At 35.3% G+C, this 25,089-nt stretch overlaps 1 pseudogene, besides 2 other annotated features; it reads left to right on the top strand.

Moving 5' to 3' along the window:
- Positions 5,244-5,999, top strand: LOC100421160 (structural maintenance of chromosomes 5 pseudogene; annotated as a pseudogene).
- Positions 11,692-11,861: an enhancer, noted in NCBI's record as "experimental_101611 CRE fragment used in MPRA reporter constructs". NCBI's record gives its function as "activates a minimal promoter by MPRAs in K562 erythroleukemia cells, with activity observed for both the introgressed and non-introgressed 8:13874416 variant alleles {active_cell/tissue: K562}" and the evidence as "EXISTENCE:reporter gene assay evidence [ECO:0000049][PMID:34662402]".
- Positions 19,116-19,285: an enhancer, noted in NCBI's record as "experimental_101599 CRE fragment used in MPRA reporter constructs". NCBI's record gives its function as "activates a minimal promoter by MPRAs in K562 erythroleukemia cells, with activity observed for the introgressed 8:13866992 variant allele {active_cell/tissue: K562}" and the evidence as "EXISTENCE:reporter gene assay evidence [ECO:0000049][PMID:34662402]".

The raw sequence follows: 25,089 nt of genomic DNA, 5'->3' as shown, positions 1-25,089 counted from the left end.
TTGATTTCCTTTTTGTGTATGTACAAAGAGGGATCTAGTTTCATTCTTTTGCATGTAGATATCTAATTTTCCCAGCACTATTTATTGAAGAGGCCTTTTGTGGGCGGAGGATTACCTAGGTGCAGAAGCAAGAGACTGAAGGCACGAACTGTTTCAGTATAATAAAGAAAATAATTAGAATAAGAATAGTCATAATACAAATTAGATATAGAGATGAACATGGACAATTATCAATCATTATGATAAACATTATTAATCATTAGCTTTTAATATTGGTCTTTGTTGCATTACTAATATAACCTAGGAATAACCGGCGGGTATAGGGTCATTTGCTGAAGGGACATTGTGAGAAGTGACCTAGAAGGCAAGAGCTGAGCCTTCCATCACGCCCGCATAAGGGCCGCTTGAGGGCTCCTTGGTCAAGCAGTAACGCCAGTGTCTGGGAAGACACCCGTTACTTAGCAGACCGCAAAAGGCACTCTCCTTTCCTTGGAGGAGTCAGGGAACACTCTGCTACCAGCTTCTTGTGGAAGGCTAGATATTATCCAGGCCTGCCCGCAGTCATCAACAGGCCTAAACCCCTCCCTGTGGTGCTGTGCTTCAATGGTCGTGTTCCTTGTCCACTTTCATGTTCCTCCCGTACTCCTGGTTCCTCTTTGAAGTTCGTAGTACATAGCGATAGAAGGAATACTGAAAGTCTTAAAGTTTTTTATCTTTCTTATAAGTGCATAGAAGAAAACGCTGACGTATGCTGCCTTCTCTCTCTCTGCTTTGGCTATCTAAAAGGGAAGGGCCCCCGTCCTTTGATCACGTGACTTGTTTCACCTTTTCAATCACTTAGAAAAGTCACCCTCCTTACCCTGCCCCCTTGTCTTGTATGCAGTAAATATCAGCGCACCCAGCCGTTTGGGGCTACAGGTCTCTGTGTCTTGGTGGTAGTAGTACCCCGGGCCCAGCTGTTTTCTCTTTATCTCTTTGTCTTGTGTCTTTATTTCTTACAATCTCTTGTCTCCGCACAGAGGGAGAACACCCACTAAGCCACGTAAGGGTGGACCCTACAAGCTGTCCTTTCCCCAATGTATGTTCTTGGCAATTTTGTTGAAAATGAATTCACTGTAGATATAGAAATTTCATTCTGGGTCCTTTAGTCAGTTTCACTAGTCTATGTATCCAGGTTTATGCAGTATCATACTGGTTTGCTTACTAAGGCTTTGAAGTATAATTTGAAGTCAGGTAATGTGATTCCTTCAGTTTTGATCTTTTTGCTTAGAATAGCTTGGTCATGCTGGATCTTTTGTGGTTCCACATAAATTTTAGTAATTTTTAGTATTTCTGTTAAGAATGTCATTGGTATTTTAATAAGAAATTAATTTAATAAGAAATTAATTAATTTTAATAATTAATTAAGAATTAATTTAATAAGAAATAAGAAATTAATTTCTTATTAGATTGTTTTAAGTAGTATAGACATTTTAACAATATTGATTCTTTCAATTCATGAACATGGAATATCTTTTCATTTATTTGTCTTCCCTTCAATTTCTTTCATCAGTGTTTTATAGTTTTCATTGTAGAGATCTTTCACTTCTTTGGTTAATTCCCAGGTACTTTCTTTTTATTTGTAGCTATTGTAAAAGGGATTATTTTCTTTTAGAAGTTATTTGCTGTATAGAAATGCTGCTGATTTTTGTATGTTTATTTTGTATCTTGCAACTTTACTGAATTTGTTTAACAGTTCTAATAGTTTTTTAGGGAGTCTTTCTTTCTTTTTTTTTTTTTTTTTTTTTTTGGTAAACTTCAGATCACATAATCTGCAAACAAGCATAGTTTGACTTCTTCCTTTCCAGTTTAGATACTCTTTCCTTCTGTTGTCTGATGGCTCTGGCTTCCAGTACTATGGTGAAAAACAGTGGTGAAAGTGGGCTCCTTTTTCATGTACCAGATCTGAGAGAAAATGTTTTCAGTTTTTCCCATTCAGTATGATACTAGTTGTGGTTTTGTCATTTATGGTTTTTATTGTGTTGAGCTATGTTCTTTCTGTATTAAGTTTTTTGAGGGATTTTATCATGAAGGGATGCTGAATTTTATCAAATGCCTTTTCAGCATCAATTAAAATGATCACATGGTTTTTGTCCTTTATTTTGTTGATATAATGCGTCACACTGACTAATTTGCATACGTTTAAGCATCTTTGCATTCCTTGGATAAATTCAACTTGGCCATGTTGAATGTTCTTTTTAATGTTTTGTTGAATTCATTTTGCTAGTATTTTGTTGAGGATTTTTACCTCAATGCTCATAGGGATATTGATCTGTAGTTTTCTTTTTTTGATGTTTGTCTTCTTTTGGTATCATGGTAATACTGGCCTCATAGAATAAGTTTGGAAGTATTCCCTTCTACTCCATTTTTTGGAAGATTTAAGTAGGATTAATATGAATTTTTCTTTAAATGTTTGGTAGAATTAATCTGTGGAGCCATCAGTTCCCAGGCTGTTCTTTGCTGGGTTACTTTTTATTATGGCTTTAATCTCATTACTTTTTATTGGTCTGTTCAGGTTTTATATTTCCTCATGGTTCATTCTTGGTAGGTTGTATGTATCTAGGAATTTATTCATTTCTTCTAGGTTTTTAGTTTATTGGTTTATAGTTCCTCATAGTAGCCTCTAATTATTCCATAAATTCCTGTGGTAAGAGTTGTAATGTCTCCTTTTTCATCTCTGATTTTACTTATTTGGGTCACCTATCTTTTTTTTCTTAGGCTGTCTAATGATCTTTACTATTTTCTTTCTTTTGATTATGTTAGATTTAAAGCCTCTTCTTTGTCTTGATTTATAAGGCGGGAGGATTGCTTGAGCCCAGGGAAGAGAAGGCTGCAGTGAGATGTAATTGTGCCATTGTACTCCTGCTTGGGTAACAGTGAGACCTTGTCTAAAAAAAGAAAAAAAAAACAGCCATCTTTCTCTTTTCTTCTATTACTCTTTTCTGCTTATTTTATTATTTAAATATTATTTTAGAATATCATTCTAATTATCTATTGTATTTTTTACTAATTGCTTTATTATTTTGATTGTTCCATGAATTGCAATATATATGGTTAGCTTTTTGCAGTCTACTTATTAACCCCACGAAATGGTGAGAATTTTTAAACATTCATAAATATTTTAAATGAAATAAAAGGAATAATATAGTCTGAAACTTTATTCAGATATTCACAATTTCTGACTTTTCTATTTTGTTATTATTATTATTATTTGAGACAGAGTCTCGCTCTGTTGCCCAGGCTGAAGTGCAGTGGCGCAATCTCGGCTCACTGCAAGCTCCGCCTCCCGGGTTCACACCATTCTCCTGCCTCAGCCTCCAGAGTACTTGGGACTACAGGCGCCCGCCACTACGCCCGGCTAATTTTTTGTATGTTTAGTAGAGACAGGGTTTCACTGTGTTAGCCAGGATGGTCTTGATCTCCTGACCTCGTGACCAGCCCACCTCGGCCTCCCAAAGTGCTGGGATTACAGGCGTGAGCCACCGCGCCCGACCTGACTTTTCTATTCTTAAAGATTCAAGTTTTACTATAACATTTCCTTTCAATCTGAAGAAATATTTTTAGAATACCTTACAGTGCGAATCCGCAGATAATAAATTTAATATGCTTCTATTAATTAATGTTCATTTGAGGAGGACCTCTTTTAAGAGATGGAGTCTTTACTGTGTTGTCCAGGCTTGAGTGCAGCAGCTACTTACAGGCACAATCATTGCACACTACAGGCTCGAACTCCTTGGCTCAAGCAATGCTCCTGCCCCAACCTCCCGAGTAGCTGGGACTACAAGCATGCACCACTATGCCTTGCCTGGTTTAAGATGATACAGAATGTTAGATTGACAATCTTTGTTCTCACGACTTTAAACATCTATTTTTACTATTTTCTAGCTTTCTTCATTTCTAATGTAAAGTCCACAGTTATACAAATGGTCATATCCCATATGTAATTTGTTAGTTTTTTGTTTTTTTGTTTTTGTTTCTGTTTTTTTTTTTTTTTTTTGGTTGCTTTCAAGAATTTTTCTTATAGCTTGACTATGGTGTGCCTAGGCATACTTAGCTATCCAAATTTGCCATTTGCTGAACTTGTAGAATTTATGCCTTTCAGTAATTTAGGAATATTTTCAGTCAATTTTTTTCTGTTTATTTCTCCCTCTCTCCTTTCTTTCTAAGAATATAATTACCCATACTATATTGAAATTGTTCCAGAGCTCTCTGGGATCATCTTCATTTTTTTCATCACTTTTTTTTTCTCACAATTTCAGATTGAATGGGGCCTATTGATTCATCGCCAAGCTCGTTGATTTTTTTTTTCCCTTGTCACATTCACTCTCTGATTAAGCAGATATCTTGGATATATTTCTCAGTTTTAGAATTCTTTTTGGTTCTTTTACATATTTTTTCCATTTTGATGAGATTTACTATTCTTCCAGTTCACTATGAGCATAATTTCTTCATTGACCATAGCTAAAATATTTACTTTAAAGTCTTTGTCTCATCATCCCAACATCAGGGACATTTTGCAGTTGCCATCTGGTGATTAACTTTTCCACTGACAGTGGGTCATATTTTTGCAGTTCTCCATATGTTTAGTAGTTTTAAAATGTTTCCAGGACATTATAAATATTGTGCTGAAGAGGCCCTGGGTTCCGCTCTACCCTTTAGAAATGTGTGGTTGTTTTTGTTTTAGCAGGCAATTAACTTGGTGCCACGCAAACTAGAAACCTGTTTACCTGCAGAGCCTGGCAGCTGAAATCTCTGTTAAGAAAGTTTTTGATGTACCCTGTGCCTGTGAGGTTCCTGGGTCAGCCAGTGGCAAAGTTGATGCCCAGACTTTTGAGTTCCATTATTTGTCTCTCTCCTTTCTTACCTCCCATGTCATTCTCTGCTGGCTCTGATTGCCCTGGCTCCTTCTCCTAGTTTTTCTGGAATAAAAGAGAGAATGTTTTTCTATTGAGGCATTAGCTGACCAGTGCCATGCCACAAATTCTAGTGCCCTCAGGAGAGGAACAGAAAATAAGTGAAACTCAACTTATGTAGATTATTTCCTCCAATTGTTGTCTCCCTGCCAAAAGTCTGCTTGTTCACTTTACAGAACCTTCAGGTTTTTTTTTTTATTTTTTCATGGTTTATTTTTGCTATTTTTCAGAAGATTCTATTTTTAGGAATTTTTCATAGACACAGCAGATTGCTAAGTCACAATTTGACCTACAATAAAAATTTAAGTTCCTTTGAATGAACTTAAACAATACGGATTTTTCCCTTATTTGAGAGAATTATTTGATGCACCTGATCCTGTAATGAGTTACCTTTGCTGTCAGTATTATATTCATGAAGTTCCTGTAGGAACTGGAAAGACCAGAGAAAGAACTGAATGGGTAATACAAGAAACCTGATTAAAACAAATTTATACAGCGGAAGAAAAGTATGTAGTGAAAACTTTTTTTTAGTCAAACAAAGTTATTTCTACTAACACATCTCTAAAAGTAGCCCAGTTTCTCACTGTCACTGTGGACCTAGAGCAAAGAAGATACTTAGAAGAACAGCTAAAGGAAATTAGTAGAAAATTGCAAGCAGTGGATTCAGGGTTGATTGTCTTACGTGAAACAAGCAAACATCTGGAGCACAAAGACAATGAACTTAGACAAAAGAAGAAGGAGCTTCTTGAGAGAAAAACCAAGAAAAAACCGGAACAAAAAATCAGTTCCAAACTAGGAAGTTTAAAGCTGATGGAACAGGATACTTGCAACCTTGAAGAGGAAGAGCGAAAAGCAAGTAGCAAAATCAAAGAAATAAATGTTCAAAAAGCAAAACTTGTTACAGAATGAACAAACCTAATAAAGATTTGTACTTCTTTGCATATACAAAAAGTAGATTTAATTTTCCAAAATACTACAGTGATCTCTGAGAAGAGCAAATAAGAATCAGATTATACGGCCGCATCTTCACAACTCCGTCTTACAGAGGGTACATCACCCTCCTCACGCATCTACATGTTCACCAACCAAGAGGCTCTACCAAGCTTCAGGACTCAGGTTTCTTACTGGGGTTTCATTATGTAGACATGGTTGATTGAATCATTGGCCATGTGGTTGAGCTTGATCATCAGCCCTATTCCCTGCAGTTTGGGAAGTTGGGCTGAAATCATGTGGCTCAAAGACATGTATATGGCTCAAATCACACAGTTGATCTTTGTGGCATTTTCTACCCCCATCCTGAGTCATATTCTTAGCATTAATTCAGGAGTGATCCAAGGGGCTCATGAATAATACACACTTTCCTATTGGTGAGTTCCAAGAACTTTAGAGGAACCAGCAACAAAGCCCAGTCAAATTCTTTATTATACAACACCTTTGAACTCCAGAATACAAGTGGGTAAAATAAATCAGCAGCAGCATCAAGACTAGCATGGTATCAGCAAGGGACGGCTCAGAGAATCCAAATATCAGGTTGCCAGCATCCTGATCATCTCTAAAGGTCCTATTAGTGGTAGAATTCTTAGAGATCAATTTGAGAGAAGCTAAAACTTGGAGGCAACCTTACAGACTTCAGAAAGGTTGGATAGTGCTGGGGTGATCTAGCCCTGTGAACTCTCAAACTAACTGAAACTCCTTTACAGAACAAAACTTCTTACTGAAGAGAACTAGAGCTACATGATAAAGGAGACCATAAAATATATATTCTGTGATTATAAGTCTGACAATGTAACTAAAGCACATTTCTCTGAAAATGCAAGAAGGGAAATAATGCAAGTAAAATAGAATATATTTACTGATTGTCCTGTAGGTATTTTCAGGAAATAAAAAGTTATTACTTCAAATTAGATGTTTTGGGAGAGGAAAATAAGGGAGAATTTCAAAGTTAATTATAGTGGGGAGCCAAAAGATAGCATCCCCCACAACTATTAGGACATAAGGATATTATATAAAATATTTGCATAATAACCTTTAGAATAAAAATAAAAGCCTTCCTAAATACCAAAAAAGATTATACAAAGACAAGAGACTGGCAGGGCAAGAAAATCACATAACTAAAGACTGGATATTTTATTTACAAATACAAGAGACATAAAAACAAATAGGTCATAAAACAGTGGCAGAGCTAAGGCCAAACATCAGTTGTATTATTAAATACAAATGGATATAATTCACCTATTAAAATATTTTTGGGAAGTAAATGACAACATTGTGCAGAATGTGAGAGGTACATCTAAAAGAAAGAGACTGAGAAAGCTTTAAAATAAAAGGATGGATGGGTGCAAGGGATCTTTTTGGGTGATGGAAATGTAAAATTGGACTGTGGTGATGTCTACATAGCTCTGTAAATTTACTAACAGTCATTGAACTGTACACTTCAAATGAGCAAATTTTATGGTACCTCATGAGGTATATGGTACCTTTATGAGGTATATAAATTGTACCTCATTGAAACTTAAGTAAATGGATGAACAAAGGTGTACCAGGCAAATGGAAATACAAATTTTAAAAAGCTTAAATATCTTCACATGCTGCTATGGAGTGATACATATATTCATAGGTCTAAAAAAGAAAAGAGAGAAAACTTTATAGTATGTTACTATCAAAGAAAGGATCAGGGAAAGTGATTACTATGCTTTATGTTGGCTTACTTAAAAACTACAATGATAAACCAGAATCGTTTTTTTTTTTTAACTGGGGATGGGAAAAGACAAGGTTAAAAGCTACACTCATCTAAATAGATCTTATATTTTTTTCCACTTTGGAACCATCTGCCAACAAAACTAAATGAAATTTTCCAAAAAGACAAGCTTAGTAAAAGCACAATGAAACAAATGCATCTAACTTTGTTTTGAGTTAGCAACATAGCCTCACAGAGAAAAATTACTCCAAATGACTATAAAACACTGTAATGATTCTAAGGGCAAAAAAAAAAAAAATTGCAAAAAAAATCATGTACTGTTTTCAGTAATCACAATGTTAATAATATTTCTAATGTTATTCTGAAAATATTATAGAGTAAATAAGTAGTTATGTTAATGTAGTTACAGTTTTTCAGCATAAGAGAAAATGTAAACATCAGAATGAACTCACAATGTATTTTCTCAAAAAAACAAACATTTCCTAGCTTTGTCTACTAAAAAGACCTGGATTATGACTTCTTAATACTATTTTCCACTAAAACTGCCCATTGGAGAAATGGCCGATTTCAGGTCCAGGAGAAGAAATGTTTATGTAAGATTAGCCATGATCATCTTGTCATAACAAAAATCAAAGAAATTACCAAAGATGACTTAGTTATCAACAGGACCCAGGAGCCTACATGAAGAATCTTTTACCCGCCATACATGAAGAGATAATAGATGGAAACTTATCAAAAATGTCTAAATGCACAAGTTTATAATGATGCTAAAATAAAATAATATTGGTCACTTTGGAGGAAAAAAAATTTAAGTTCAATTTGTTTTTTTCTCTTTTTCTACTCCAAATATAATATTTATTTTATTCCAGTGCTGCAATTTTAACAGACTTAAATTTGATTTCATTATAGTAAAAGTGATTTTCTGTTTGCTTTTAGAAACTTCTACATACTGAAGAATAGCTCCAAACCAGAAGCTAATGTGTGAGTCCCGATAAGTTCAATGAAAGAGAAAGAGATGAGTAGGTCAAAGAGGCAAAGGAGTCACAGAACTGCAGTTGATCAAGGTTGCCAAGCAACTAATACGGTCAAAATTTTATTTTTTATGCTTTAGGAAGTATAAATTTTTGGAGGAGGCATTTGATTTGGATTGCTATCCAACAACCCTGTGAATTTAGAGGGGAAATTATGATAGAGAAGTGAATATCTGAGGATGGTCTAAATTTCCAGCATTAGAATCAATTCCTTACCAGCATACCTTTTTCAATTCCCTTCCATTATCAACGTGGGGAGCTGCCCCGGGTGGATTGGGCTTTTAAAGTTAATTTCAATGGCAAGTGATAGACAACGATTTTCCCAAGAAGGCAAAGATTCCAAGAATATCAAGCTGTTTATGTACTTCACATTTAGATAGCAAGAAACTTCAGGCTTTTAGGCCTTTACTGTTTTACTCATTTATTTTCTACTAACTACTGTTGAACTTCTCCCATCATGTGAAAACAGCAGTAAGGAAAGCAACAGTTTGGGATTATAGCATCTAACTTCCTCTTCTTGCCACGGGCAACTCTTCAATCAATAAATTCTCTTTTTTAAAGAATGCCTTGCTTATTTTTTGTCTTCAATACACCATTTTACAATTTACTTATAATGCAGTATTATCTTATGCATCTATGTGTCTACATTGGAATGTTTTAATTGTGTTTTTGCTTCCTTTGTCTTGTTTTTGTATTTTAACTTATCCCATAAGAATATTTTTCTGTTATACTCTGAAGTAAAAATAAAAGAAGAAAACAATAAATACCAAATAAAATTTAGGCTACCACTAAGTATGTTGTGATCTAAACCCAGCTGTTTTACAAGGTACTAAAATGAAATCTAGGTTTCTCATGCTGGCAAGAACTCTTTTAAGAGTTTTAGTTTTTAACTCAAATTATTCATGGAAGTAATATTCAAAAATATTCCAATTAGTACTATTTGAATATTTTACTTTGTCCCATTAGAAGTGGGTAATTTAATGGATTAGATTATTGCCCTGAGACATTCATTAGTCATTTATAATTATGTCTTGCTTATAGAATTAAGAAATGGAAAGTTGTTTTTTAATAATCCAGTGATGCAGTAATCTTTTCTTTTTTAATTAAAAATTAATCTGCCTCCTAATGAAGACAAATAAAACATCAAATCTAATTAAGATTATGTGAAAGGTTGTGTTAGCCTCAGTTAAGAGCCCTAACAAACAACAAATTTCATAAATACCAAAGCCCATCTTGTTCCTTTTCTAGAAGGTCCTAGGGGTAAAAGCAGCTGCAGAATATTATTCCTACTTTTGCTTTAATTGCCTTTAATAGACGAGCTGGAGAAAGCATTATACATAATGCATCATGTTTTGCATAAAGGTAAACAGAGCAAATGTGCCAGGTGAAAAGTTTATGACAATATATTTTAATAACCAGGCTATTTCTTGAATTACATTTTACTTCTATGTCCAACAGCTAGGAGGAAGGGAGCTATAAAACTAAGAAGAAAAATAAATTACAGAAGAGTTAAAAAGGCACTAATGGTAAACAGGAAACAATAAGAAAAAAGTCAAGATACATCCAAGGGAAGATTATTTCATTATTTTAAAAATTTCTTAAGACTAAATTTTAGGTACTATATTAGATTGTGTAGATGATAAAACAGTGGACCTTACCCTCAAGAATTTCATGGTGTTAGAAGAAAAGAAACAAATATAAAGCAATATACCTTATACAAACAATACATCTTCAAAATACCAAAATAAAAATCTGTTCAAAGTAATGCTGGAGCTCTGAAGATGCATGACTAATTCCGTGTTGGGGAATCAGAAAAATGTTTAACAAGAAAAATATAAACAAGTTCCTGAAGAACAAAAATTCCAAGCAAAGCATATTAGGTAGGGGACACATACACAAAGATTGCATGATACTTTCATGACGATTAAAAAAAATTTGCAAAAAGATAGTGGTGTATGGTCACACTAGAAAGCCATTTCTTTCATCAGATTTCAAAGAGAGGCAGATGCCATGACACAGAAGTTGCAACTGTGTAGAAATGAACAGCACTTAAAATTTTCAAAGCTTTAATGGTCAGATTAAATAATTTATTTAAAATTATTAAATGTTAAAAAAATCCAAAACTTCTGGGAAAAACATATGTAGCAGAGTTTTAATTCTATGAAAGTTTTCTAGAATTCTACCTTCTCTAATTTTGATGTGTGTCTAGGTTCTTAGCTCAAAACATAACTCTTGGCTTTGCTTGCTATATGAATAGTCTAAAAGTGAGGCCACAGCTGGTGTCTTGCATAGGAAGGAGGTTACAATCACCATAAAGTGTTTTAGCAAATTTCACTTGAATCATATTTTGAAAATGATATGAACTTTTGAAATAGTTCAACACAACAGAAAAAAATTACCCCATAGAGAAATTTAAAATATAAAACATTTACACCAACTATTTTTTGAAACAACAGTGAGTTATTTGCATTCATATGATATCTTCACTAGAATTAAATCAGCAGCAGGTAGGTAAGGAATTAAGATCACCTTTGAAGTTATAAAGTTGAATCCCAATTCAAATGGATTTGATTCTTGTACATTGTTATCAGGATTATTTGGGCATGGCATGAGATAAAACCATATGACTGAATCTGTTCAAATTTTAAAGAGCTTTGGAGTTATAAATTATGAAGTAAGAAATTAAGATGAAATGTAGCTCTGTTTGATCCACCTCTTTATGCTGATGCTCAGATTGTGTAGTGGTGGCTCTGTTGGTTGTTAAAAATATGGAATCACTTCTGTACTGGTTAAATAACTAGCCACCTGAGCCCCACATCCATGCTGCCTCAGCAGCACTGGCCAGTCTCTGTGGACCTCTCAAACTCCCCCGACCCATTTCAACAGCCAAGATTAAAGGTTCAGTGCATGACATGACAGGGAAACCCTTGTATCTGACTTCATTGGTCATGCACTCTACCAGTGATTAAATGTCCACATCCGCTTTTATTCAACAAACACATTCCAGGTAAATGACAGCCACATGCTCCACTAGACATTTGGTATACACTGAATTAGACATAACAAACTAACAGATATTGTTTTAGTCTTCATGAAATTCTACAGGAGGATAAAACAAAGTCAGTCACGATAAATCAGGTGCATAATTAAAAAAACATGTTAACTACTAAAGAACAAAATATAGGATACTACAAAGGGTAAATACTGGCTAAATTTATATTGAGGGGAAAAATAAGCCATCATTGGTATATTAATTAAGACCTGAAAAAATGAGATGATAGTAACAAAACAAAGAGTGCTTGGGCAAGGCAAACATGTTAGGGATATTTCTTTGGCCGCTGAGACAAAAAGCCGATTAAGTAGAGAAAAGCCAAAACGAGGAAAGGAGTATTAAAGCTATATCACTTACTTTCATGATGGAAACTTCTTGGCTTTGTATATAGGATTGCATTACTTTCTGTGAGTCCTTAGTCATTTGTCTATTCTTCTAGATCTCAACTGATTCACCACTGCAAATTTTATGTTACCTATATCCAGGCAACTAGTATGTAATACCTATTCATTGCATAGTTCCTGGAATATAGCAGGTGGTTAATCAATCTTTATCTTGATCTAAATATTCAGTATCTGTAAGAAACTTAAATTTACAAGTAGAAAAATACAAAGCACTCCATAAAAAAATGGGCAAACACTTTACAAAAGAAGACATACATATGGCCAACAATCATATGAAAAAAGTTCAACAACACTGATCATTAGAGAAATGCAAATCAAAACCACGATGAGATACTATCTCACATGAGTCACAATGGCTATTATTAAAATGACAAGAAATAACAGATGCTGGCATTGTCGTAGAGAAAATGAATGCTTATACTCATTGGATGGACTGTAAATTAGTTCAGCTGTCGTGGCAGACAGTGTGGCAATTCCTCAAACTCCTAAACACAGAAATTACATTCAACCCTGCAATCCTATTACTGAACATATACCCAAACGAATGTAAATTGTTCTATTATAAAGACATATGCACACACATGTATATTACAACACTATTCATAATAGCAAAGACATGGAATAAACACAAATACCTATCAATGATAGACTGGATAAAGAAAATGTGTACATGTGCACTGTGGAATACTACGCAGCCATAAAAAAGAATGAGATTATGTCTTTTGCAGGGACACAAATGGATCTGGAGGCCATTATCCTTAGCAAACTAAATCAGGAACAGAAAATCAAACAGTATATGTTCTCACTTATAAGTGGGAGCTAAACGATGAGAACACATGGACATATAGAGGGTAGCAACACACACTGGGGCCTATAGGAGATTGGAGGGTGGGAGGAAAGAGAGGATTGTGAAAAATAACTCATCAGTACAGGGCTTAATACCTGACTGAATGAAATAATCTGTACAACAAAGCCTCATGACACAAGTTTAACCTATATAACAAATCTTCACATGCTCCCCTGAACTTAAAATAAAACAGATATAAATAAAAAGTAAAATTTATTGAAATTTGTTTTATGTTCCCCTCAAAATAAATAATAAATGTTTGCCTTTTAGAAGAATATATTTGTGAAATGAGAATGAAAATACTGTAAATAGTTGTAGTAATGATTACATTTTCAATATGTATGGTAACTACATATGTATTTATACATAAATATATGGTCATTTTTATTTTTTTATATATATATCCACAAGCATATATAATGTGTGTGTGTGTGTGTGTGTGTATATATATATATATATATAGAGAGAGAGAGAGAGAGAGAGATAGCTGAGTAGAGTGACTAAGTCAAGGTAGATACTAACAAGTATTAGTTACCTGCCCACCTATCATAAATATATTTTCAAAGACAGTTTATTATATTGAATAACTCTTCAAAAATGTGGAGTGAGGGCAAGTTATAGGCTTGATATCCCAACAAAACTTTTAAGAATTGACAAAATACATAAAATTTTTTAAAAGAAATCAAAATAATAAATGAAAAGAGTGGACTGTTAAGAAAGAGTATGCACAGGATCACTCCAAAACTAAAACATGAGTGTACTGAAAAGTGGCCAAGTCTAAAGACTAAGTATCTTTTTTCAGTTCCCAGCATAGGTCTGGTAGCAGCTACAGGTAGCAGAATAAGTGAGAACACGGATCAATAAAGTAGAGTGAGCTAATAGTCTTCTATGTTTTATTCTCATCATTTTCCTTTACTAAAGTAATGTATCAAGTTTATAATGGCTTCCCAGTTATAAATTAGATTTACCAGATTTTCTTAAAGGTAGGTGTGGCCAGGAGAAGAATTTTGACCATGAATATTTATTATATTTCTTGACTTGGACATTTTCAGCCATCTGGGTCACTAGCCTGTCTCTATAACTCAATTAGATAGAATCCAAACTAAGCTGCTATAACAACAATAAAAACGAAAAAAAAAAACCCTCAAAATATAGTCAATTATATTTCTCTCCTATGAAATATTACATAATAAGGGGCCTCTTGCTGGCTGGTTGCCTGTGCTCCAAAAGATCACTGAGTTTATTTATAGTACAGATTATTATTTCTTCTTCTCACCCTCATCCTCTTTCTTCCTCATTCTTTCATTTCTGATTCTCTTTTCCATCATTTATAACTTCATTATACATCTATAATTAATGGTGATTTACTTAATGTGACTCTCCTGCTTCCATCTCTATGAAGACTATTTTTGGTTGATCTCGAGATCTGCTTTCTATCATGTAAGATAAAGACAGAAGTCAAAAATATATATAGAAATAGAGTTAATTTAACAAGTAGGAATTGGTACTAGTGGATATTCCTGTATTTAAAAGATATGACAGGATTTTGTATGCATATGACAAAAAATCTAGAGATAATGGACATTAAAAACTTAAATGTTATAAAAATGCAATAGATGGGAAGATTAACCAAACAGATATGGTTAAAGGGGGAATTAGTTAGTTAGAATATCAAGTCAAGGAATATCCTCAGGATTCAGTACATCAGGTTATGGGAAGTATTAAAGAAATATTAAAAGATTTAGAAGACAGAGGCAGAACTTTAAAATCCAGCTAACAGAGGTTCTAGAAGAAGGATTAGAGAGAATGATGAAAAGGCAATTTTGAATATGTAACTGAGGCATAGCCAGATAAAGTCAAGTGTTCTGATACAGAATGCAGCTTGAAGCATTAATCACAGTACTTAGCATTTAGAAGGTGTTCAACAAACAGGAGATGTTACTATTAGTAGTAGTAGTAAGCAGGAAGAAGTCACAATGAAATTGCAAAGCAGCATTTGTACAAGGTATTATGTTTGGGATATCAAAACCATCACTTTTCTGTATTTATGATGGAAAAAACATCACATTTCATAACTGATTTTGATTAAAATTATTGACTATAATTTTTTATAATCATAATTTATTAACAAAACACATTTCTTTTGAAACATATAATTTTCATTCTCCTTTTGCTGGTTGTTGGTTTGATACATATGCTGCCATTATTAAGTAGTAACTGTATTAGAGCACAGGTTATAACTATTTTAAAAAAGTAGTTATTGCTGAGATGGCAGACTTTTTGGAGACAGAATCATTATTGAGTTAAAGAGCTTTTTGTCAGAGTATGAACTATAAAATTAAAACCTTTGTGCATGAAATGTACAAAAATTATCATTAAGTGACTGTTCTGCCTTCTTACACTTTGCCAAAAAAAAATTATCTTCAGTTCTTCTTTCCCTATGGGTTTTGTTGTTGTAAAAATAAGGTAAGGTTTGATATATTATGTTCCTCTTTTTTAATTAAGATACAAATATTGACTTAGAATATACTTTCATATAGTATTGTTTTGACACTGACAGAAAAATTAGAACATCTGTAGCTGGGCAGTGTGAAATTGTATTAAGCAAGAGGCGAAGAGAAAAAAAATCTGGATTTTAGTCCAAGCATACCTCAGAGATATTGGAGGGTTCTGTTCCACACCACCACACCTGTATGCACTGACATTTTGTTTTAATTCTTAAAAATTCCCAAAATATATTTTTTCTGGCAGGCAAGTTTTCAATTCATCTGACTGACCTTTGATTGCCATCATTTTCAGAGGTTTTCTCAGAAAGTATGTGCTAAATACAGCATTCTCTGCTAATGCACAGAAAATACTGACTTTTCAGACAACACTCTTTGAGCCACTCATTGCTAAATCTGAAAATAAACCTTATTCTTCTTGCAAAAGAAAAGATGACTGATGGAAAATTTTGCAGGGAAAGGCTTACAAATGATTCATCAAACCTGATGAATATATGTGACCTCCTAAGTGGTGGTGGGGGGGATCTCTTGGTTCAAGGCCACAGAAAGACACCAATTATGCTGCACAAAAAAATGTGAGTGTGGAAAATTTGCCATTTTGGAAGAAGAAACTAGAGGAGACAGATTTGCAAAACTTTCTAGAGCTTCAAAGGGTTGAGAGGTACAAAACAGTATTAACTAGGCTGTTGGAAGACATCTTCCAATCCTTGGAAACAATGCAGAGTGCTTTAGAATGTTACATTATCTCAGACAACCTTAATGTTGAAACAGAAAATGTAATCACTTTCTGACTGATGAAGCCATCGATGGCATACACCTGGCCAAATATGATCTCACTTATTGCAGGACAAAGTCAATGTGAGCTCATAAATTCAACTCTGGATGTACTGAAAAATCCTTGTTTTCTCTGACACAAGCCTAACAGTATAGAGCAAAGTCAGTAATGAAAGCCCAGAATTTAACTTCTGTTATATTCCCTTGTGAGTCTCTGGGATTTCAGCACTATATTGTCATCAAAACTAAAAGTCAATATTCATTGGGTTTCAAAAACAACTTCATTCTCAGTAAACTATTGCAAGAACAAAAAACCAAACACCGCATATTCTCACTCATAGGTGGGAATTGAACAATGAGATCACATGGACACAGGAAGGGGAACATCACACACTGGGGCCTGTTGTGGGGTGGGGGGAGGGGGGAGGGATAGCATTGGGAGATATACCTAACGCTAGATGACAAGTTAGTGGGTGCAGTGCACCAGCATGGCACATGTATACATACGTAACTAACCCGCACAATGTGCACATGTACCCTAAAACTTAAAGTATAATTAAAAAAATAAATAAATAAATAAATAAATAAATAACAACTTGACCAATGTTGTACTAAAGATCTAGTTAAAAATCTCAAAATTGTATACGTGCCAAACAACAGCAGCTTTTTCATTAACATTTACTTTAGGTTATAAATAAAATGTACTTTCTATTTTATTCGCCCAATTAAATGCATTTGTCTTTTTCAGGAATGCCAATTAAATTTTACATGAAAAATCAGTAAGAAACAGAAAATCGTTTGGTAAATACATTTATATATCACATGTATATGTCCACTTCAAATAAGTATATTGCATAAATACAATATTTTGCATAGGTCATCATGACATTTTCTGATGTTTCAGTCCTAAGCATTCATTATGTCAACATATTTAAAAACTAATTTGATAAGTGATTTTTATATCACATCTAAAAGCACTTATGACTGCATATACTTATTGAAAATTGATATACTTATTTTAAAAGTACAACCAAATTTTGTGTACATTAGGCAGATAAAGCACAACTATTAAAAGCCTATGTTTATAAGAGACAAAATCTTCTAATGTCTGCAAGCTCCCAATCCACTGTGAATCCTTACCTTTCCCTTCAGTCACTTTATTCTATTATAGAATTCAGTTCTTAAAAGCTCTGTTTTGCTCTCCTGTGATAAAGAATATGAAAAACAATTAAAAAGAGAAGGGATGAAAAAAAGCCAGAGAGGCCAAATCAGGCTATTTAAAATTTGTAATTTGAGAGAGACTTGGGAGAGCAGCAGAGAGGGGAAAGAAAGACGGGAACAGGGTCAGAACCTATTTGTGTTGAGAATTAAATAACTTAATGCATGTAAAGCACTTAACCATACAAATCTCATTTCCTTATACATTTGCATTGTTTTCACTGTCATGATGATCATCATCACCATAAATGACAATCTGGGGATGAAAATGCGAGAGGCCCTAGGGGAGACATGAGACATCAGAGAATAAGAAGTGAGAGTATAGAGAAAGGCTCTTGAAAACCGTCTTCTGTACCACACATTTTGGATTCCCCACGACACTCCGGGAGACATTAAAATAACAAATACGTTTATTGTAAATCACTACTTGATACGGTTTGGCTGTGTCCCCACTCAGATCTCACCTTGAATTGTAATAATCATCATGCATCAAAGCCAGGGCCAGGTGGAGATAATGGAATCATAGAGGTGGTTTCCCCCATACTGTTCTTGTGATAGTGAATAAGTCTCACAAGATCTGATGGCTTTATCAAAGAGAGTTTTGCGGCACAAGCTCTCTTGCCTGCCACCATGTGCATTTGCTTCTCCTTTGCCTTCTGCCATGATTGTGAGGTCTCCCTACCCATGTGGAACTGTGAGTCCGTTAAACCTCTTTTATGAATTACCCAGTCTTGTATATGTCTTTATTAGCAGCGTGACAACAGAGTAATACTCTACTGACTGCAAATCTAGGATTCTTTGTGTATCTGTCTAAGCAGATATTAGGCACTAGAAAGCCCCCAGTTTTTACGTAGATTACAGTTTGAAAGCTATTTTACTGAATTTGTGACCTAAACTTCAACATAAAGCTGCAGTGCACAATATTGTTACCAATGTACTAAAACCAAAATCACAAGGAGCAGAGCGCAGGTCAAGCAGGTAAGTGCTATTATGATTATCAGAAATTTACGGCCATGTTAAAGAACTAACATGAAGATATATTTAAGTAGAAAATTACCTTTCCTCAGCCTTATGAAAATTTACCAAAATTCCCTCATGAAGGTATTATAAACTAGAATTTTTGTTCCAGCCTTCATGGAAATCTAGCCTCTTTAAAAATTAGTATACTTTCCATATGCAAGAAGAAGGCATCTTAGTCCATTTGTGCTCCTCTAACAAAATACCTGAGACTTGGTAATTTGTAAAGAATAGAAGTTTATTTCTCACAGATCTGGAAGGTGGAAGTTCAAGATCAAGGCACCAGTAGATTTGGAGTCTGGTGAGGGCCTTGTCTCTGCTTCTAAGATGACACTTTGATACTGCGTCCTCACAGGGCAGAAAGTGGAAGGGTACAAAGAATCTAGCTCATTCCCTTCAGCCTCCTTTTTAAGGTCAGTAAACTCATTCATGCATGCTCCAGCTCATGACATAATCACCTCCAAAAGCTTCATCTGCTAGTACTATCACAGTGGCTATTAAGCTTCAACACATGAATTTTGGGGGACACAATGAGACCCATCGATCTAAGTCCACAGCTTTGGAGTCTATTTCTTCTAAGGATATGGCTGTTTTGGTTGACTTTCAATTGAAAGCCTTTATAACCTGAAGCTATTCCCATTCAGAAAGTAACCTGCCATGTCAGTGATAATGGAAAACGATTTTGAATTGTGGTGACTCAAGTGATACAAGGATGGAGCTTCAGAACCTAAAAAACACCAAACATCACAGGAGTCCAAAGCCACCAATATTTGATTTCTGTGGAAGAGTATCTTCTTTTCTAGAGACTCAACAGAACTTAATAGATGATGTTTGACATATATATGTCAAATTTATAACTACATGACAATGACTAGGTATATGTTTCATAAATGTTGATTCTGAAGGAACAGCATGTCACTTGTTGAGACTGGAACAGAAGAGCTAGGTGGAGGTGTTTTTGTGTAGGTGTAGCATAGAATAAAATTGTAGTAAATTTGCAAAAGATGATCCCCTCATAGACTCTTCACTGATAATATAGCTACCTATCTTGAAAATATACTGCAGAAAGTATAGGCTTGGACATTTGGAAGTAAAGCAAATCTTTTCCTGCTTGAAATCTGACCTATCCAATGAGGTTTCTATGTTTGACCAACCATTGGCTTCTCTTCCCTAAGGCAACTCAAAACTGGGGTTAGAGTCTATGGAAACTAATTTGTTTGCTCTGTAGAGGGCTGAGTCACAGGTGGAATCAGCAAAAGCAGCTGCCTATTTATACATAGATTTTCAGAGACTTCAACTTAGGACAAGTCAAGTTTGCCTCCAGTCAGCCTAATACTGTGAGATCTGTGTCTATTATTCTAGCAAGGGACACTACATGGTTTGTCTACTCTCCAAAGGAAAATAATTCAGGGCGTACAGAATAGTCTTTATTCAGCATTAACACCCAGTGAAGAATAGCCCAAATTTCTATCCAACTTCTAAACCAATTCACAAATAAAAGTGTAAGCACGTAAGAGCCAAAGTTTCACCTTAATTAATGATAAAGCAGATATTGAAGAATAGAGCATAAGTTCTCAGGGAGCTGAGCTAGGCTTCCTAATACCATATACCAAGACCTAGGCAGCCAACACTGCACCAGAATTCGCCACTCTACACTTTCTTCCAGCAGCTCCAGAAGAAGCCCAGCACAACGCATGCTTTCCAGGGACAGCTCACTCTCAGGACAAAGGGAAGAATAAAATATTTTCTATGTTTGATAGGATCTTCTCTTTAAAGCCATTGATTAGAATTTGAAACTTTTCCTCCCTAGGAAGTAATGAATGAGAGATGAAGGAAGCTAACAGAGTTAATGGAAACACATATGTCACAATGTTAGGCTATACCCACTCCCTTCATAGTCCTTCTCTACCCGAAGCACAGTTCTGCAAAGAGAAAGGGCGAAAACACAGAACATATATTTCTTGTCCAGGAGAAATCCATTTACAAGATTTAAAGTATTTCCCAGATACTCCATTACCAGGCATCATCGAGTTGAGCTTAGCTATGAAGACGTCTTGATTGTACCCCTTTGCAGAGGTTTGGATAATTTATCCATGAGGGAGATATGACAGGGACACTGTTATTAATGTGGAAATATGTTATTAACGTGGGAGTATGTTATTAACATGGGAGTCATCCCAGAAGAAACGGAGTGCAGAGACAGTCGACCTATTTCTCGTCATCCGTATCTCAGTACATGGCAAGGCAAACACTGATTGAAATATATTTGGCTCTCATTTGCTTGTAATTAATATTTTTCATTACAATGATAGATTTATCTATTTGGTTTAATTGTTTTCTCAGCTTGCCAAATCATTTTGAGATGGGCAATATGGCAGCACAAGATATCTAGACATATCATCACACATTACTGATTTGAGAATTCATTGGGATATGAGAAATGAAGAGCAAATTACATAGATTTTGCAGTGACTTCTTCCCAGAGACCAAGGAAAGGGAGTTCTTTGCACTGAAATCAGTGTTGCGGGTTCCATATTAAATGAAGCGTAGGAATAAGCCTGTCACAACCTGCGATGTATTGTTCATTCCTCTACCCAGGTATACGACAGCCTCACTTGGGTGGTGCCAATTCAACACACCATCTGTCAAACACACACAAATACCAATTTCTTTTATTAAAAGATAATGATCTCACTTCCACTCATTTAATATTCAAAATTCACCTAACAGCCAGGACAATTTTTCATGTTTATTTGGGAAAACTCCGACAAAGGCCAGTCCTTTCCTTCCTCATTTATTGCTCTTGAAAGTCTAATTTCCCCCGATGAAAATCAGTTTTTCCAATGATAGAAGAAAAGTAATTAAATATGTTCACTTCATAGCTAACTTATCTCATTGCCAGCCGTCGAAATAGCTGAATAACTGTGTCAGGACAAAAGCAATAACATAGTGATATGGGTAACAGGAAATTAGGGGCACATGATTTGTCCCTCTGGATACAGACTGGCATTGACTTTTATATGACCAGAATGGGTATAATGACTCATATTTATTGCCCTGTGAGTCGTGCCCTTCCCCATCACACACTGATGCAAGCAGAGCTGAAATAATCAAAAGCCAAATGTGTGCCAGGGTCTTCTCCATCTGTTTGAACTAGAAAACCAGAGACCAAAGTGTTTGGCAAGCAAGGTCCCAAACATAGCTTTCGTATTTCAATTTTTAAGCTTCACTTGAGATGAAGATATGCCACGGAAGGTTTTGTTTAAAATGGGACCACTGTTTAACTTGTGCATTTTAATGAAAAGCTAAGGAAGAAATGAAAATTCACATAGTTCATGTCTATTGAAAGAAAATTGGCTAATCATACCGTGAGGTCTTTCAGTCATCTAGTTTTATAACTGGATACCGAATACTCGGAATTCGTAAGTGGCAATCTGTTCTGAAGTAGGTATCATTTGAAATGGACTCTTCACCACACAGAAACTGCAGCAGAGCTGTTCATTGACATTCTGCAAAGGCCTTGAAGTGAGTGGGTGCACCTACACCACTGGTTTCCTTGTCTGTTTGGGTCATCTCCTGAAGGATCAGACTGAAAGTATGTATTCTCTCTCCTCACAGAATCTAAGACCTATGCAACCATGCCATTTACATAAAATTGTCTGCTGCCTACCATGCTTCAAGTCCAAAAAGAATTTTATAGACCTGTGCTGCTAACAGAGAAGTAAAAATGTGCATTTTTAATGAGCAAAGTTGATTTTTAAGGTAATTATTCACAAATACTTGTTTAAAAAAAGTCTTCCATATGGTACATGGCCACTTCTATAGGCATTCAGGAAGTGTGTACTAGCTGGGTGCCTTTGGTCATGCCTTTCTACTCTAGAAAACTTGCCAGAGTATGAATATGGGTGGTATTGTTTAAACATAATAATGTACGGTGATGAAGTGTTTGGAAAAATTAACATATGTTACCAAAAATAATTCCTTACTGCACCTCTTACATCTCATAAAACATGATGGTTTTCACATAAGGCTGTGTAGACACAATGTATCTTCTCGTCAGGGAGGTGCCAGGTATATTCCATCTCTGCTAATTCTGCTTCAAAAAGTGTAAAACCTAAAATAATATCTCCACTTAATTTATACAGGTTTGCTCCTACTCTACTCTTGGACAGACATAATACTAATGGAAATCTATAGATTCACACCACTTAATCTTGTCTATGAGTTTGCTTAAAATTTTCTTTGTTATCTTTTTTTTCCAAGCCTATTGCCAACAGATGCAGAAGAAGATGTAAATAATATATTTAGTTTGAGTAAAACACAGTTGCTGAGCTATAAGTAGAGATAAATTATTGTCCAAAGCAGGCCACGTTTGAGGGTGAATGCAACACATTATAATTAAACCCGAACAAGTGGCAAAGTCCAGAGCAATCCTGGCCCCACTGTGTGACCTACTGAATAGTGTTATCAAAATCCCACACTTAGCAGTTAATCTTCCATGAATGGGTTTACTGTGGTTCTTTCTCTCTCTCTCTCTCTCTCTCTCTCTCAGTTGTGCTTTTTTACAGCTTGGCTTGATTTCTTCCATGGCTGGATTCATGGACGCACGGCATGAGTTAGAGCTTTACAGTTTCTCTCTGGCACTCATATGTGCTTGCTGCTGCTTGGCTTATTCCTCAGGGAGACAAAATTACTACCAGCATTGAATCCTTCTAGCTTAGAAGCAGGGAGGCAACTTCTCTTTCCTCCAAGGCTATATAATAATCCCAGAAAGTACTAATTGATGCTGCTTTGGTTACATGCACCTCCCGGAATCAAACAGGGAGGCAGGGGTGTTGCTCTCTGTCTCTCATCACCAATACAATGGGAGAGCGGGGTGCATAATCAAGTGTTACCTGAGGACCAAAGAGGAGGCAATTCGGGACAGGTGTAGCAGTACAAATATTCAGTCTTTCAGGATAACACAAGGCGTGAAAACACAAATATTTAATATTTTAGGATGACACACCTAAGTTATGTTTGTTTCTGAAAATAAAATCCTTGCTGTTTTTAGTACACTATGTTGTCTTCTCCACACATAATCAATGATGACAAGTTTTAGGCAACATAATTTTTAATAGATTTCCATTTGTTCTAATTTTAGTGGCCTTATTGGTGTGGTTCTCCATATGCTATTTGACAGTGATGTATTGCTTTATTAAGACACTGGATTTTGTTAGTTTCTTCCTTTCTGTGTTAATAATTGAACCATAGTCAAATCACTAGATATGAAGGCCTTGGCTGGCAGTTTTTCAGGTGAAGTGTAGTCTTTTCTAGGTTTAGACTATAAGCCAATACTTCTTCAATTTTCTCAGTACAAAGGAAAAAAAAAACCTTCTAAACAGGAAACAAAATCCAAGTTGTTGCATTGACTATTTTTTTCTGTATTTTTTTATTATTATACTTTAAGTTCTGGGATACATGTGCAGAATGTGCAGGTTTGTTACATAGGTATACATGTTCCATGGTGGTTTGCTGCACCCATCAACCCATCATCTATATTGTGTAATTCTCTTAACACTATCCCTCCCCTAGGCCTTAGCCTCTGACAAGCCCTAGTGTGTGATGTTCCCCTCCCTCTGTCCATATGTTCTCATTGTTCAATTCTCACTTATGAGTGAGAACATGCGGTGTTCGGTTTTCTGTTCCTGTGTTAGTTTGCTGAGAATGATGGTTTCCAACTTCATCCATGTCCCTGCAAAGGACATGAACTCATCTCTTTTTTTATGGCTGCATAGTATTCCATGGTGTATATGTGCCATATTTTCCTTATCCAGTCTATAATTGATGGTCATTTGGGTTGGTTTCAAGTCTTTGCTATTGTGAACAGTGCTGCCATAAACATACACGTACACGTGTCTTTATAGTAGAATGATTTATAGTCCTTTTGGTATATACACAGTAACGGGATTGCTGGGTCAAATGGTGTTTCTGGTTCAAGATCCTTGAGGAATTGCTACACTGTCTTCCACGATGGTTGAACTAATTTACACTCCCTCCAACAGTGTAAAAGTGTTCCTATTTCTTCACATCCTCTCCACATCTGTTTCCTGACTTTTTAATGACCGCCATTCTAACTGGTGTGAGATGCTATCACATTGTGGTTTTGATTTGCATTTCTCTAATGGCCAGAGATGATGAGACTTTTTTCCTGTGTTTGTTGACCGCATAAATGTCTTCCTTTGAGAAGTGTCTGTTCATATCCTTTGCCCACTTTTTGACGTGGTTGTTTGTTATTTTCTTGTAACTTTGTTTAAGTTCCTTGTAGATTCTGGATATTAGCCCTGTGTCAGATTGATAGATTGCAAAAATTTTCTCCCACTCTGTAGGCTGCCTGTTTACTCTGATGATAGTTTCTTTGGCTGTGCAGAAGTTTTTTTAGTTTAATTAGATCCCATTTGTCTATTTTGACATTTGTTGCCCTTCCTTTTGGTGTTTTAGTCATGAAGTCTTTGCCCATGCCTATGTCCTGAATGGTATTGCTAGGTTTTCTTCTAGGGTTTTTATGGCTTTAGGTCTTACGTTTAAGTCTTTAATCCATCTTGAGTTAATT

This window comes from Homo sapiens, chromosome 8 (genome assembly GCF_000001405.40).
Source record: "Homo sapiens chromosome 8, GRCh38.p14 Primary Assembly".
Lineage (NCBI taxonomy): Eukaryota > Metazoa > Chordata > Mammalia > Primates > Hominidae > Homo > Homo sapiens.
Note: the sequence above shows the minus strand (reverse complement) of the source record. Positions and strands in the feature narration are given on the sequence as shown.